Source organism: Homo sapiens, chromosome 2 (assembly GCF_000001405.40).
Source record: "Homo sapiens chromosome 2, GRCh38.p14 Primary Assembly".
NCBI classification, from domain to species: Eukaryota; Metazoa; Chordata; class Mammalia; order Primates; family Hominidae; genus Homo; species Homo sapiens.
In genome coordinates, this window is record NC_000002.12 from 236,132,962 (window position 1) to 236,145,359 (window position 12,398).

Sequence of the window (12,398 nt, forward strand, 5' to 3'; positions counted from 1 at the left end):
TTTAAGTGCATATAGATGGCCGAGCACGGTGGCTCACGCCTGTCATCTCAGTACTTTGGGAGGCCGAGGTGGGCGGATCACCTGAGACCGGAAGTTCCAGACCAGCCTAGGCAACATGCCAAAACCCCGTCTCTACTAAAAATACAAAAAATTAGCCAGGCGTGGTGGCGCATGCCTGTGGTCCCAGCTACTTGAGAGGCTGCGGTGGGAGGATTGCTTGACGCAGGAGGTGGAGGTTTCAGTGAGCCGAGATCATGCCACTGCACTCCAACCTGGGTGACAGAGCGAGACCCTGTCTGAAAAAAAAAAATGCATATTGCTTATCTGATGAATTTAATAACAGATTTACAAAACAGCAGCTTAAATAAATGAAGGGTTTCTTTTTCCTCCCAAAAGAAGAAGCCTGGAGAGAGGCAAGCCTGGGCTGGCCAACAGCTGCAGAGTCTGCTGGGCCCAGCCTCCTCCCGGCCGTCTGGTCAACCATGGCTCCCAGGTGCTTGTTACCTCTGGGCACCCCCGAGAGGGGCATCTCCAGCATCTGCATTCCAGTGAGAAGAAGAGAGAAGGTGAGAGAAGAGGCAGCTGAGTCGGTCCCTCTTAACCAGCTTCCCCAGAAGCCACCCTCATGCCTCCACTTACACACCACTGACCAGACTGGGCGGGGTCCCTCAGGGCTGCAAGGGATGCTGGGAAATGGGGGGAGGGGTGATGTGGAAGGATGGGGAGAGCAGGTTTTGAATAGGCGGCTCACGTCCCTGCCCAGCCACCTTGTTTCCCCACCATTCACACGCACCCTTCGGTCAGCACACAGAACACTCCCTCCCCAGGAGAGACCCGGGGGCCAGGCCGTGCCTGCCCTGCTGCTGCTCAGTGGCTCCTCCTCTGTCCATAGCATTGTCCACACCCAGCTTCCCTCCAGGGCTCTAAGTAAACCTCAGAGTATCTGTCACCCTCCTAGGAGGTGTCAGGGCCCCAGGAGTGGGAAACGGAATCACCTTCCCAGACCAAGGTACTTAAGCCAGGTGCTCTGGGAAGCTCTCAGGTCACAAAAGCAAGACTGAATGTTTAGATTTCATAGCCAAGACTTGTATTGTGATCACACGCAGTGCTGGCAAGGCCAAGGTGAGGCGAACCCAAACACGCTGCTGGTGGAAGCAGTGCCCCTGCAAAGCCATATGGAATTGTGCACAAAGACTCTGAAAAGCTTCCCTCATGACCCAGGAAGGCAGAACCTGGACCACACCTTCACCACGATAGAGGCTTAGTACGTGTTTATTGACCACATGAATGAATTCAATGCCCACGAATCTGGCCAGGGGATAATGGGAATACTTTGACATGTGCCTAAAAATGTTCATGTCTATGGTATTTATAGTAACAATATTGGAAGCAAGGTCAAAGCCCAACAGGGAGAGAGTTAAATAAATCATCATGCATCTGTAAAGGGGAGGAAGATTTAGTCATTTCAAACTGTGTTTATCACATGGGGAAATAATATAAATAAAAAATTAGGATATAAAAAAAGTATTTACAGGAGTGATCTCTAATTAAAGATATTTTAATATCCAGGAAAAAATATACAAAATGTTAACAGTGCTGTCTTTCTCTGGGGAATCCTGGGTGGTTTTTATTTCTTTCTTTTACTTTACTGTTCCCATTTTCTCCATTAGCATGTACAGGTTGAATATCTTTAATCTGAAACCCAAAATACTCCAAAATACAAAACTTTTTGAGCACCAACATGATTCCGTAAGTGGAAAATTCCACATCTGACCTCGTGTGGCAGGTTGCAGTCAAAACTTGGTTTCATGCACAAAATTATTGAAAATGTTGCATAAAATTACCTTCAGGCTATGTGTACAAGGTATGTGTGAAACACGTGAATTTTGTATTTAGATTTGGGTCCTCTCCCCAAGATATCTCATTGCAAATATTGCAAAATCTGAAAAAAGTCAAAAGCCAGATCACTTCTGGTCCCAAACATTTTGGATAAATGATGCTCATCCTGTATTGTAAAAAGTTACATTGAGGCATATCTTGAAGCTCACATTTTGCCACAGACTTTAAAGAAAGTGTTTGGGGTTTTTTTATTAATATATTGTTCTCATGCTGAAATTGGAAAAACCATTGGTTAACTACTTTGATCCTGAAAACAAATTGATTATAAGTTAGGAAGCAGCCCAGGCACGGTGGCTCACACCTGTAATTCAAACACTTTAGGAGGCTGAGGCAAGAGAATCGCTTGAGGCCGGGAGTTCAAGATCAGGCTGTGCAACATAACAAGACCCCAAGTCTACAAAAAAAAATTCTTTTTTTTTTTTTTTTTTTTTTTTTGAGACAGGGTCTCACACTGTCGCCCAGGCTGGTGTGTAGTGGCACAATCTCAGCTCACTGCAAGCTCCGCCTCCCAGGTTCACGCCATTCTCCTGCCTCAGCCTCCCAAGTAGCTGGGACTACAGGCGCCCACCACCGTGCCTGGCTAATTTTCTGTATTTTTAATAGAGACAGGGTTTCACCATGTTAGCCAGGATGGCCTCCATCTCCCGACCTTGTGATCCACCCGCCTCGACCTCCCAAAGTGCTGGGATTACAGGCGTGAACCACCGCACCTGGCCAAAAAATTTTTTTAAATTAGCCAGGCGTGGCATCGTACACCTGTAGTCGGCTTCTCAGGAGGCTGAGGTGGGAGGATCGCTTGAGACCAGGAGTTTGAGGCTGCAGTGAGCTATGATTGCACCACTGCACTCCAGCCTGGGCAACAGAGCGGGACCCTGTCTCTAATAAAGAAAGAAAGAAAAATAAAAATTTTAAAAATTAGGAAGCATTGCAATAAGGAGCAAACCAAACTGTAAGTTACAGAATCTGAAGAAATAAAGTTCAAACTGACTCCTGACCACAGCATCCGAACACAGCTGGGAACCTTCCAGAAGGCCAACCCTGCCTCCTGCTGCCCTCCCAGCCCCCTCCTCTCCCACCAGGGGACCATGCTGACTCCTGAATGTTCTCTCCTTGCCTTTTCTTGTCCCTCCCGGGGATCGGATCCTGCTCTTCACCTTTTCCTCCACCTGGGAAGGCCCTGCTCTCTGTGGCTTCTTCCTTGTCATCTCTGGGGTCTCTGATGAACTGTCCCTTCCTCAAAGAGGCCTCCACACCTGGCCCCTGGCTCCTGGCCCCATCAGGCTTCCCTGCTCTTGTGTTTGGCAGTCCTTCCCCATGGTGCTCACCACAGGCCTTTCCTTGTGGGATCATTCACCTCCCCTGAGCTCCAAGGCCATGGATCTGTGTGAGTTACACCCAGGGCCCAGGGACCAGCCTGAATGAATATCCACTGACTCAACTAGTGAATGAAGGAAGGAACAAGCTCTGGCCCATCAATGGTCTTGCCTTCCTTGGCGCAATTGAGTGTCGAGTGTCCAGCTGCAGCAGCAATTTTCTTTGGGTCAAAGGAAACCAAACCTCATTATAACTGTGACAGGAGTGAGGACAAAACATGGGCTGGGGGGGATGCACCCAAGGGACCCTCCTTCCAAATTCCAGCCAGGCCCGCCCAGTTCCCCTGGAAGGCAGGGCCAGACTCGCTCAGCCCTCCCTCCTCTGCTGCCCATGGCACTTCGGTGGAATCTCAGCCATGGCCTGTGTCTCAGGGGCCGGGTCCCTTGTTGACCTGCGGGCTCTCCCCCAGCCTGGGCTCGCACAGGGCTCCCCACCCCACCCTCGCTACACCCGGACCTGCCCGTGGTGACAGCGAAGATGACAGTGCGGCTGTACAATGGACAAAAGCCTGGCAGTCCACGCCAGCCGCGAGTGGGGAGGAGTTACGATCAGCCCTACTGTCTCCAGCACGTTCCGAGAAGCTACTCAGTCGCAATTTATCACCACTAGAGTCCAGTAAGGCTCCTAATTGGCCCATAAATGTGGTCCAATAACCGCGCCTGACATCCAAAGACACTGCAGGCAATTAGCACTTATTTATTTGCATATGGTATTGACCAATGCGCTAGCTGCACTCACTTTCAAGATCTGTTTATTTTTAAAGCTGGAGGGGAAAAAAAGCCCTCATTTACTGCACTACAAGGGGAACTACCACACACACACACACACACACACACACACACACACACACACCACTAGCAGGGATGATGGGAACTTGGCATCGCACTGCCTCTGGCTAAAGGGATTCAGTGATTCACTTGTGTGCAGGGTCCTGTCAATATCTTACAAAGTACTCAATAGATGCAACCTGTCCAGGTGACTGTGCCGGCGCAGCCAGCAGCAGCCTTCTTGCCCGGAGGAGGCTGAGGGGATGGAGCAGCCCGAGGAGATGGAGTAGCCCAGGACTGCACCCCACTTGTGTGGGTTTTCCAAATGTATGGCAAATTGCCTTTGCCAAACCGCACTCGGCTAGGACCGCAGGCACGTACCACCATGCCAGACTAATTTTTGGCAGAGATGGGGTTCCATCATGTTACACCAGCTGGTCTTGAACTCCTGGGCTCAAGCGATCCATCCGCCTCGGCCTCCCAAGGTGCTGGAATTATAGGTGTGAGCCACCACACCAGCCTGAGATTAAACTTGATTTTAATTTGTTATTTCTGCTTATTTGAATTACTTGTCTGAAAAATTATTATTTCTATAACTATTTTTAAAAGAAGGAAACAAAATGAAATGAACAATGACCAACCACCCAGAGACAGGCGATCTTAGGGTGTGGATATGTGTTCTGGCATTCTGGCATCTTTTTTAAAATATACATGTACTTTTTTTTTTTTGACGGAGTTTCGCTCTTCTTGCCCAGGCTGGTGTGCAGTGGCACAATCTCGGCTCACTGCAACCTTCACCTCCCAGGTTCAAATGATTCTCCTGCCTCAGCCTCTTGAGTAACTGGGATTGCAGGCACATGCCACCACACCCAGCTAATTTTTAGTAGAGACAGCGTTTCACCATATTGGCCAGGCTGGTCTCGAACTACTGACCTCAGGTGATCCACCCACCTTGGCCTCCCAGAGGGCTGGGATTACAGGTGTGAGCCATGGTGCCAGGCCACATGTACTTTTCAATTAAATTAAATTTTATTTTGAGACAGAGTCTTGCTGTGTCACCCAGGCTGGAGGGCAGTGGTGCAATCGTGGCTAACTACAGCCTCGACCTCTGAGACTCAAACGATCCTCTCACCTCAGCCTCCTGAGTAGCTGAGACTACAGGTATGTGCCACCACACCTGGCTGATTTTTTAATTTTTTGTAGAGAAGGGGGGGTCTCACTATGTTGCCCAGGCTGGGCTCAAGCAATCCTCCTGCCTTGGCCTCCCCTAGTGCTAGGATTACAAGAGTGAGCTGCTGTGCCCCACTGTACTTTTATTTTAAGAATAAAATAGCATTCTTCAAACCATCTTCTAGCCTATGCTTCCCTTCAAATGTTTGTGTTGAAAAATGTCACACCAACAAAGAAGTTGAAGAATGGAATCGTTCAGTGAACACCCAAAGATGCCCATCTCTACGCACTAGTTGTTAACATTTTAATACACGGCCATCTCTCTAGATAGACAGACTGACACACACTATGTTGAATTTTTTTTTTTTTTTTTGACAGAGTCTCACTCAGTCACCCAGGCTGGAGTACAGTGGCACAATCTTGGCTCACTGCAACCTTTGCCTCCCGAGTTCAAATGATTCTCCTGCCTCAGCCTCCTGAGTAGCTGTGATTACAGGTGCACACCACCACACGTGGCTAATTTTTTTTTTTTTTGTATTTTTAGTAGAGGCGGGGGTTTCACCATGTTGACCAGGCTGATCTCGAACTCCTGACCTCAGATGATCGGCCTGCCTCGGCCTCCCAAAGTGCTGAGATTACAGGTGTGAGCCACCGCGCCCAGCCACATTTTAAAGTAAAGGAGCTACAGCAGGACTTTTCAGCCTTAAATAAATAAATAAGCACAAGGACTTTCTCCTCTGTAACCACAAGACCATGATGACTCCCAGGATGGGTACCATTGGTATGATATAATATGCAGTCCCTATTCAAATTGCCTCAATTGTCCTGTAATGTCTTTCTCAGCTGATTTTTCCCCTTATCCAAGATCCAATCAATAATCACACAGAGCTCTTAATTGTCATGAGAAACCTACTTCTTAAAACTTAAATGAGCATGAACAACTTTTCATGGCAGAAAAAAAAAAAGTTCTCTAACAAGATCGAAACACTTACCACTGGGAATCAGGCTGCTTGGCTCCCCATACTTCACCAATATGGGGTCACTTTTGTTTCCAATTTGAAAGGCCAAAAATAGGTTCTCTTAGTTTATCTGCATTTTATTACCATTAGGGGTAGAATTTTTTATGTTTAATGGCAAATTCTATTTTGTGTTGTTACCCTTGCATATTCTTTGTTCACTTTTGTATTTATCTTTTTATTTTTATTTTATTTTTTATTTTTAGAGCTGGAACCTCGCTCTGTCACCCAGGCTAGAGTGCAGTGGTGTGATCATAGTTCACTGCAGTCTGAACCCCTGGGCTCAAGCCGTCCTCCCACCTCAGCCTCCAGAGTAGCTGGGACATTAGGCACAATATTTTTGTTACCGATGTGTTAACTTAGAGGATACTAACCCTTTATATAACATAATGTGTTATAACATTTATCTCATTTTTTCCTTTTTAATCTTACGATTTTTTAATGTGCAGAATTTTAACACTATGAACTCAAATCAGTCTTTACCCTTATGATTCCTGCCTTTGGTGCTATGCTTAGAAAACCCTTCCTTGCGGCTGGCCAAGGTGACTCACACCTGTAATCCCAGCTCTTTGGGAGGCCAAGGTGGGCAGATCACCTGAGGTCAGGAGTTCGGAGACCAGCCTGGTCAACATGGTGAAACCCCGTCTGTACTAAAAATACAAAAACTAGCCGGGGGTAGGTGCCTGTAGTCCCAGGTGCCTGTAGTCCCAGCTACTTGGGAGGCTAAGCAGGGACAATTGCTTGAACCTGGGAGGTAAAGGTTGCAGTGAGCCGAGGTCACGCTATTGCACTCCAGCCTGGGCAACAAGAGCAAAACACCATCTCAAAAAAAAAAAAAAAGAAAAGAAAAGAAACTTCTTCCTTGCTCAAGAGTATCCAAAACTCAGTTTCTCTTTAGTAGACTTCCATTATTTTATGGCATTTTATTACATTTAAATTTTCATTCATTGTTCATTTGCGAAATTTTTACTTTTTCCAAATGGTTAGCTATTTGTGCCAATTAAACAATAGGATGGAAGGCTTTTTTAATGGATGACACATAAATTATGGAATATCCACATGATAGGTTAGCATTAGCCATTGAAAAGAATCATGTAGACCTACATGTGCTGACATGGGAAGATGTCCAGAATATACTATTAAATAAAACATTCGGCTGTGTGTGGTGGCTCATGCCTGTCATCCCAACACTTTGAGAGGCTGAGTCGGGTGGCTCACTTGAGCCCAGGAGTTTGAGACCAGCCTGGGCAAAATGGCAATTCCCCGTCTCTACAAAAAATACAAAAAATTAGCCAGGTGTGGTGGCAAGCACCTGTAGTCCCAGCTACTCAGGAGGCTGAGGTGGGAGGATCACCTGAGCCTGGGAGATTGAGGCTACAGTGAGTCATGATCTCACCACTGCATTCCAGCCTGGGCATCGGAGTGAGACCCTGTCTCAAAAAAAAAAAAAAAAAAATTCAAGTTGCAGAGGAGTATATAGACATGTAGCATAGGACCTCAAAGCAGAGGCCGTGTGTGCTCACACATGCACATACACACATACACAACACATTCTGTTGTCCCTCTTGGTTTCCTGTCTGCCCCCTCCTCTTTTGATTTCCAGATGTTGGAGGCCCCAGGACTCAGTCCTCAATCTATGATATTCTCTATCCATGGTACTTTCTAGGCAATCTCATCTAGTCCCAAAGGGTCCAATATTTGCCTGTGACTTCCAAATTTTTATCTCTAGCCTTGCTGCCACCCTGGATTCTAGACTCATATCCACTGATGAGTAGGTATTCAATGTAGTTAGGAATGCTTTTGGCCGCAAATAATAGAATCCTCAAATAACAAATGCTTGTACTAAAGATGTTTAATTCTATCACATAATATATTTAAAGGCAGACAGTCCAGAGCTGGTCTGTGGCTCAGCTATGTTATTTCTTTAAATTGAGTTTCTTCATTTTGCTCCACTATCATTGGCAAACCGGTTGCCACCTCCCAGTCAAAAGATGGCTGCCATGACTCCAGGCATTACATTCATGTCCAAAGCAAGAATAATGGGATAAAGAGATGGAACTTGCCACATCTATCATTTCTATCAGGAGAGTAAAGACATTCCTAGATTTTCGGCATCTTCTAGCAAACTTTCCCCTATGACTTTCTCATTGGCCAGAACTTGGTCATATGGCCATGTTTGGTTGCAAGGGAGGTTTGAAAAGCAAGTATCTATCCCTTCCAGCCTCTGTTCTGTTGGTGGGAAAGAGAAAAAGGAGCCGGGAATAGGTGTTGCCGTCGCCAAGCAACAGTGTCTCCAATGGCGAATAGTCACCTCAGGTGTAACTCCCCAAACGGAAATGCACAATTCCTTCCCAGTTCGACTCTCCTAAATATGCCCCATCTTGGGAAGCAGCACTCACCCTCCCCAGATGCTGGCCCAAATGCTCAGGAGCCATCCTACACTTCTCTCTCTCTCCCTCCTATCAGTCTGTCCTATTGTCTCCAAAGATCCATCCCAGAGTTGACCACATCTCCCCCGCAAATCTGAGCTCCGCGTTACTCCAGTCGCCCCAAGCTGGCTTTCCTGCTGCTCCTGCTGCCCCTGGGTTTCATCTTCACTTGGAAGCTAGAATAACCCTCTTAAAGTGAAAGTCGGCTGGGTGCAGTGGCTCACGCCTATAATCCCAGCACTTCAGGAGGCCGAGGCGGGCGGATTGCCTGAGATCAGGAGTTCGAGACTAGTCTGGCCAACATGGCGAAACCCCATCTCTCCTAAAAATACAAAAAAGTTAGGCAGGCATGGTGGCATGTGCCTGTAGTCCCAGCTACTCAGGGGGCTGAGGCAGGGGAATTGCTTGAACCCAGGAGGTAGAGGTTGCAGTGAGCCGAGATCGCACCACTGCACTCCAGCCTGGGCGACAGAGCGAGACTCCGTCTCAAAAAAAAAAAAAAAAAAGTCGGCTCATGAAACCCCTGTGCTCGCCACACGGACGGCTTCCTGGCACCCCTAGGATAAAAGCAAGACACTTACCATGCCCTGCAAGGTCCTACGTGATCTGGCCTGCCTCCTCTTCTGATGTCTCCTCCTCAAGCTCCCCCCCCGACCCTGTGCATTGCCCCCCACCCTCAGACACACCGGCCTTGCTTTTTCTGAACAATCTGAATAAGTTCCCATTTTTGCACTTGCGGTCCCCCCTCGCCCCGCCCCCGCCCCGGCCCCTGCCCCGTTAGCTCCTCATGCAGTCCTCCCGTGGCTCCTCCTTTGCCTTCTTTAGGTTCAAAGCTCATTTCCCCAGAGAAGCACAGCCTGACCCTGTAACTCAGTCCCTACCTCCAACACTCCCTTTTCCCTTATTCCACTTTCTTTGTCTCTGGGGCGCTTACCGCTACTGAGCGATCGCACACCTTCACTGTTACCTGCTGGAGTCTACATCCTCTCCAGAACATGGATCCCAGGAGGACAGGCCACACTTCTACCTCACTGTCCTCTTTTTCCCAGCACCCAAAACAACACCTTGCATATAGTGTTTAGTCAATATACTGAATAAATCAGTTTTGCCCTCCCCTCACTGCTCTGGAAACTCATCAGCTGTAATTACACTGAAATGTCTGCCCCGGCTCCCAGCCCTGGCCACGCAGAGTTGCCAGGTGGAAAGCAGCTGGACAGACCATCCGTGTGGACTTCCGAGTGGCTGCGAGGAGGAACTCACAATTGCTGCTGCTGCTGCTGGCTTTCTCTGCCTGCAGTGTCCTGGTGTGCCCTGGGACCTGCTTTGAGCCAGGTTCAGACGGTCTCTGAAACAGCTGCTCTGCCAAGAACCCAGAATCTGGAGATGGAGACAGATGGGACACAGCAGCCACAGCCTGAGACTCCTTGCTCCAAGGTCCTGAGAATCTCCACCTCCTCCGGCTGCATCGCACCAGAGAGTTGTCCTGTCTGTGGGTTTGGGGGAGGGGAAAGCACCAAGAGCTCAGGAAAGGGCACTTCCTGGCTCGTTATTAGGCAGTAGCACCCCAGATAAATCAGCTCCCAGCCACTCTGCAGGAGTCCACGATGGGGAGCAGGCAGGACTGAGCCAGGCTGCCCAGACTGGAACCTCAAGGCCCCAGAAATGTGTGCTTGGGGAGAACCGGGTTGTTCCCTTCAGCCCTGACTATCCCGGGAGAGGCCTGGAAAGGAAATCACTGAATTGTCCAATAGAGGGCGCTGGTTAGAGGCTACGGACCGGCCGGGTGTCGGGAGGCTGAGGCGGGAGGATTGCCTGAGCTCAGGAGTTTGAGACCACCCTGGGCAACATGGTGAAACCCCATCTCTACTAAAATACACACAAAAAATTAGCTGGGCGTGGTGGTGGGAGCCTGTAATCTCGGCTACTCACGAGAATTGCTTGAACCCGGGAGGCAGAGTTTGCAGTGAGCCGAGATTGCGCCGCTGAACTCCAACCTGGGCGACAGAGCAAGACTCTGTCTCAAAAAAAAAAAGAAGATAGGGACCAAATGGGCCAAAAGAGCCAGGCCCTTCCATATGTTCTGTGTATTCTGATTATGGAAAAGTGACCATGATATAGTAATTTTTAAAAAGTCAAGGTACAGACTAAAACATCTCTGCTAGTATAAAATGCAACACATAAACATACCATTTACCCATTTATATATACTGATGCATGCACAGAAACAATTTCTCGAAGAAACACAAACCACTGTGACCTATGTTGGAGCACAGTGAGTGGCGTCACCATCTAGCGCTCAGGGAGCAGAGGTCCTGTGAGATGTCAGTTACCTGAGCAGTGATGTGCTGGCGGTGGCTTTCACCGTCTCCCACGAGCTGCTCTTGAGTACCTCTTCCCAATTCTGTGTTCCGTGACATCACATGGGTAGCTGGGAATGGGCCATGGTGGGAGTATTTACACCACGGAAATTGGCAAATGCTACAAATCAAGGTCCTCCCCGCCACAGACACCCACCCCCAGAGCCGGTTGTTAAGCCTTTACTGCCACACCTGAAATAAAGTGTTCTGCTCTATGGAACCTCAAAGAGGACTTTGTGGTCACATACATATGTGGAAAATGCTGAATATGGGACTTCAAACAGCCTCTGGGGGCTCAGGCCCCCCATCAGCATAGTGAAGCCTCCCAGAAGAGGTTGAGCAAGGAGGTCTAATGTAACTAACTGATTTTTACACGATACATGTTTTGTTACTGTGTTCTTGAGGACATCCTAAGGAAAACACAGTTTTTTGAGTTAAAATCTTTCATGATCTATTTAGACCCATTTGCCTATAGAGCGTGCCATCCCCTCTAACGCCATGATCCACTCTACAGCCATGATCCACTCTAAAGCCATGATCCACTCTAAAGCCATGATCTAAAGCCAGGGTAGCAGAGCCACGAAGCAGTTAAGCATCCCCTAGCTAGGAGCTCATAAATGTCTCCATCTTACAAAAAAACAGAATGAGGCGTCAAGAGGTCAGGAACCTGCCCAAGGCCACACAACTGTGTGAAAATGCAAAGCTGAGGCCTGAGCACCCCTTGAAATGTTACTAGCTACATCCCTGGGTGAGGGATCTAAGCCCTGGCTTGGTGGGGTGCATGTGTGTACACATGCTAAACTGAAACCTGATGTAGCCGTAGATTAAAAAGCAAAGTGAAGCATCCCTGGCAAAGTCAGGAACACAGCAAAGATGCAGATTATCACCACTACCACACATTACTATATTGGAGGGTCTAGCCAGTGCAACAGACAAGAATAAAAGGGGGTATAAATATTGGAAAAGGAGAGAGAAAACCCACAAAAAAATCAACTGCACACTGATAACATCTGAAATTTTCGTGTAAGATAAAGGTTCCCATTTATAATAGCAACTGATATTTGTTAAGCACCTAGGCGTGCATTGCAGAAGGCATGTGTGAGCCTCACATGAGCAAAATTCTAAATCTTTCCAGAAGCACAGCAGAGACCTGAACAACAGGAGAGCTGGCCCGTGATCGCACGCAACCAGACTGTATTGTGAAAATGTCACCTTACTTACCCTCCAGTAGCCTATAAATTCAGCACATTGGCAGTCAAAAGTCCAAATGGGTTTTTCAAAACAACTCAAATAGATGATTCTAAAATTCATTTGGAAGAGAAGATGCAAAAAATTAGCTAAGAAAAAGTGGAAAATGAAGAACAAGGAGGAACTCCCCACATCAGA

The 12,398-nt window shown here is 47.8% G+C and overlaps 2 annotated features.

Moving 5' to 3' along the window:
- Positions 3,205-3,705: an enhancer, noted in NCBI's record as "H3K4me1 hESC enhancer chr2:237044810-237045310 (GRCh37/hg19 assembly coordinates)". NCBI's record gives its function as "activates a minimal SCP1, AML or CMV promoter by ChIP-STARR-seq in naive H9 embryonic stem cells {active_cell/tissue: H9 hESC(naive)}" and the evidence as "EXISTENCE:reporter gene assay evidence [ECO:0000049][PMID:30033119]".
- Positions 3,706-4,206: an enhancer, noted in NCBI's record as "H3K4me1 hESC enhancer chr2:237045311-237045811 (GRCh37/hg19 assembly coordinates)". NCBI's record gives its function as "activates a minimal SCP1, AML or CMV promoter by ChIP-STARR-seq in naive H9 embryonic stem cells {active_cell/tissue: H9 hESC(naive)}" and the evidence as "EXISTENCE:reporter gene assay evidence [ECO:0000049][PMID:30033119]".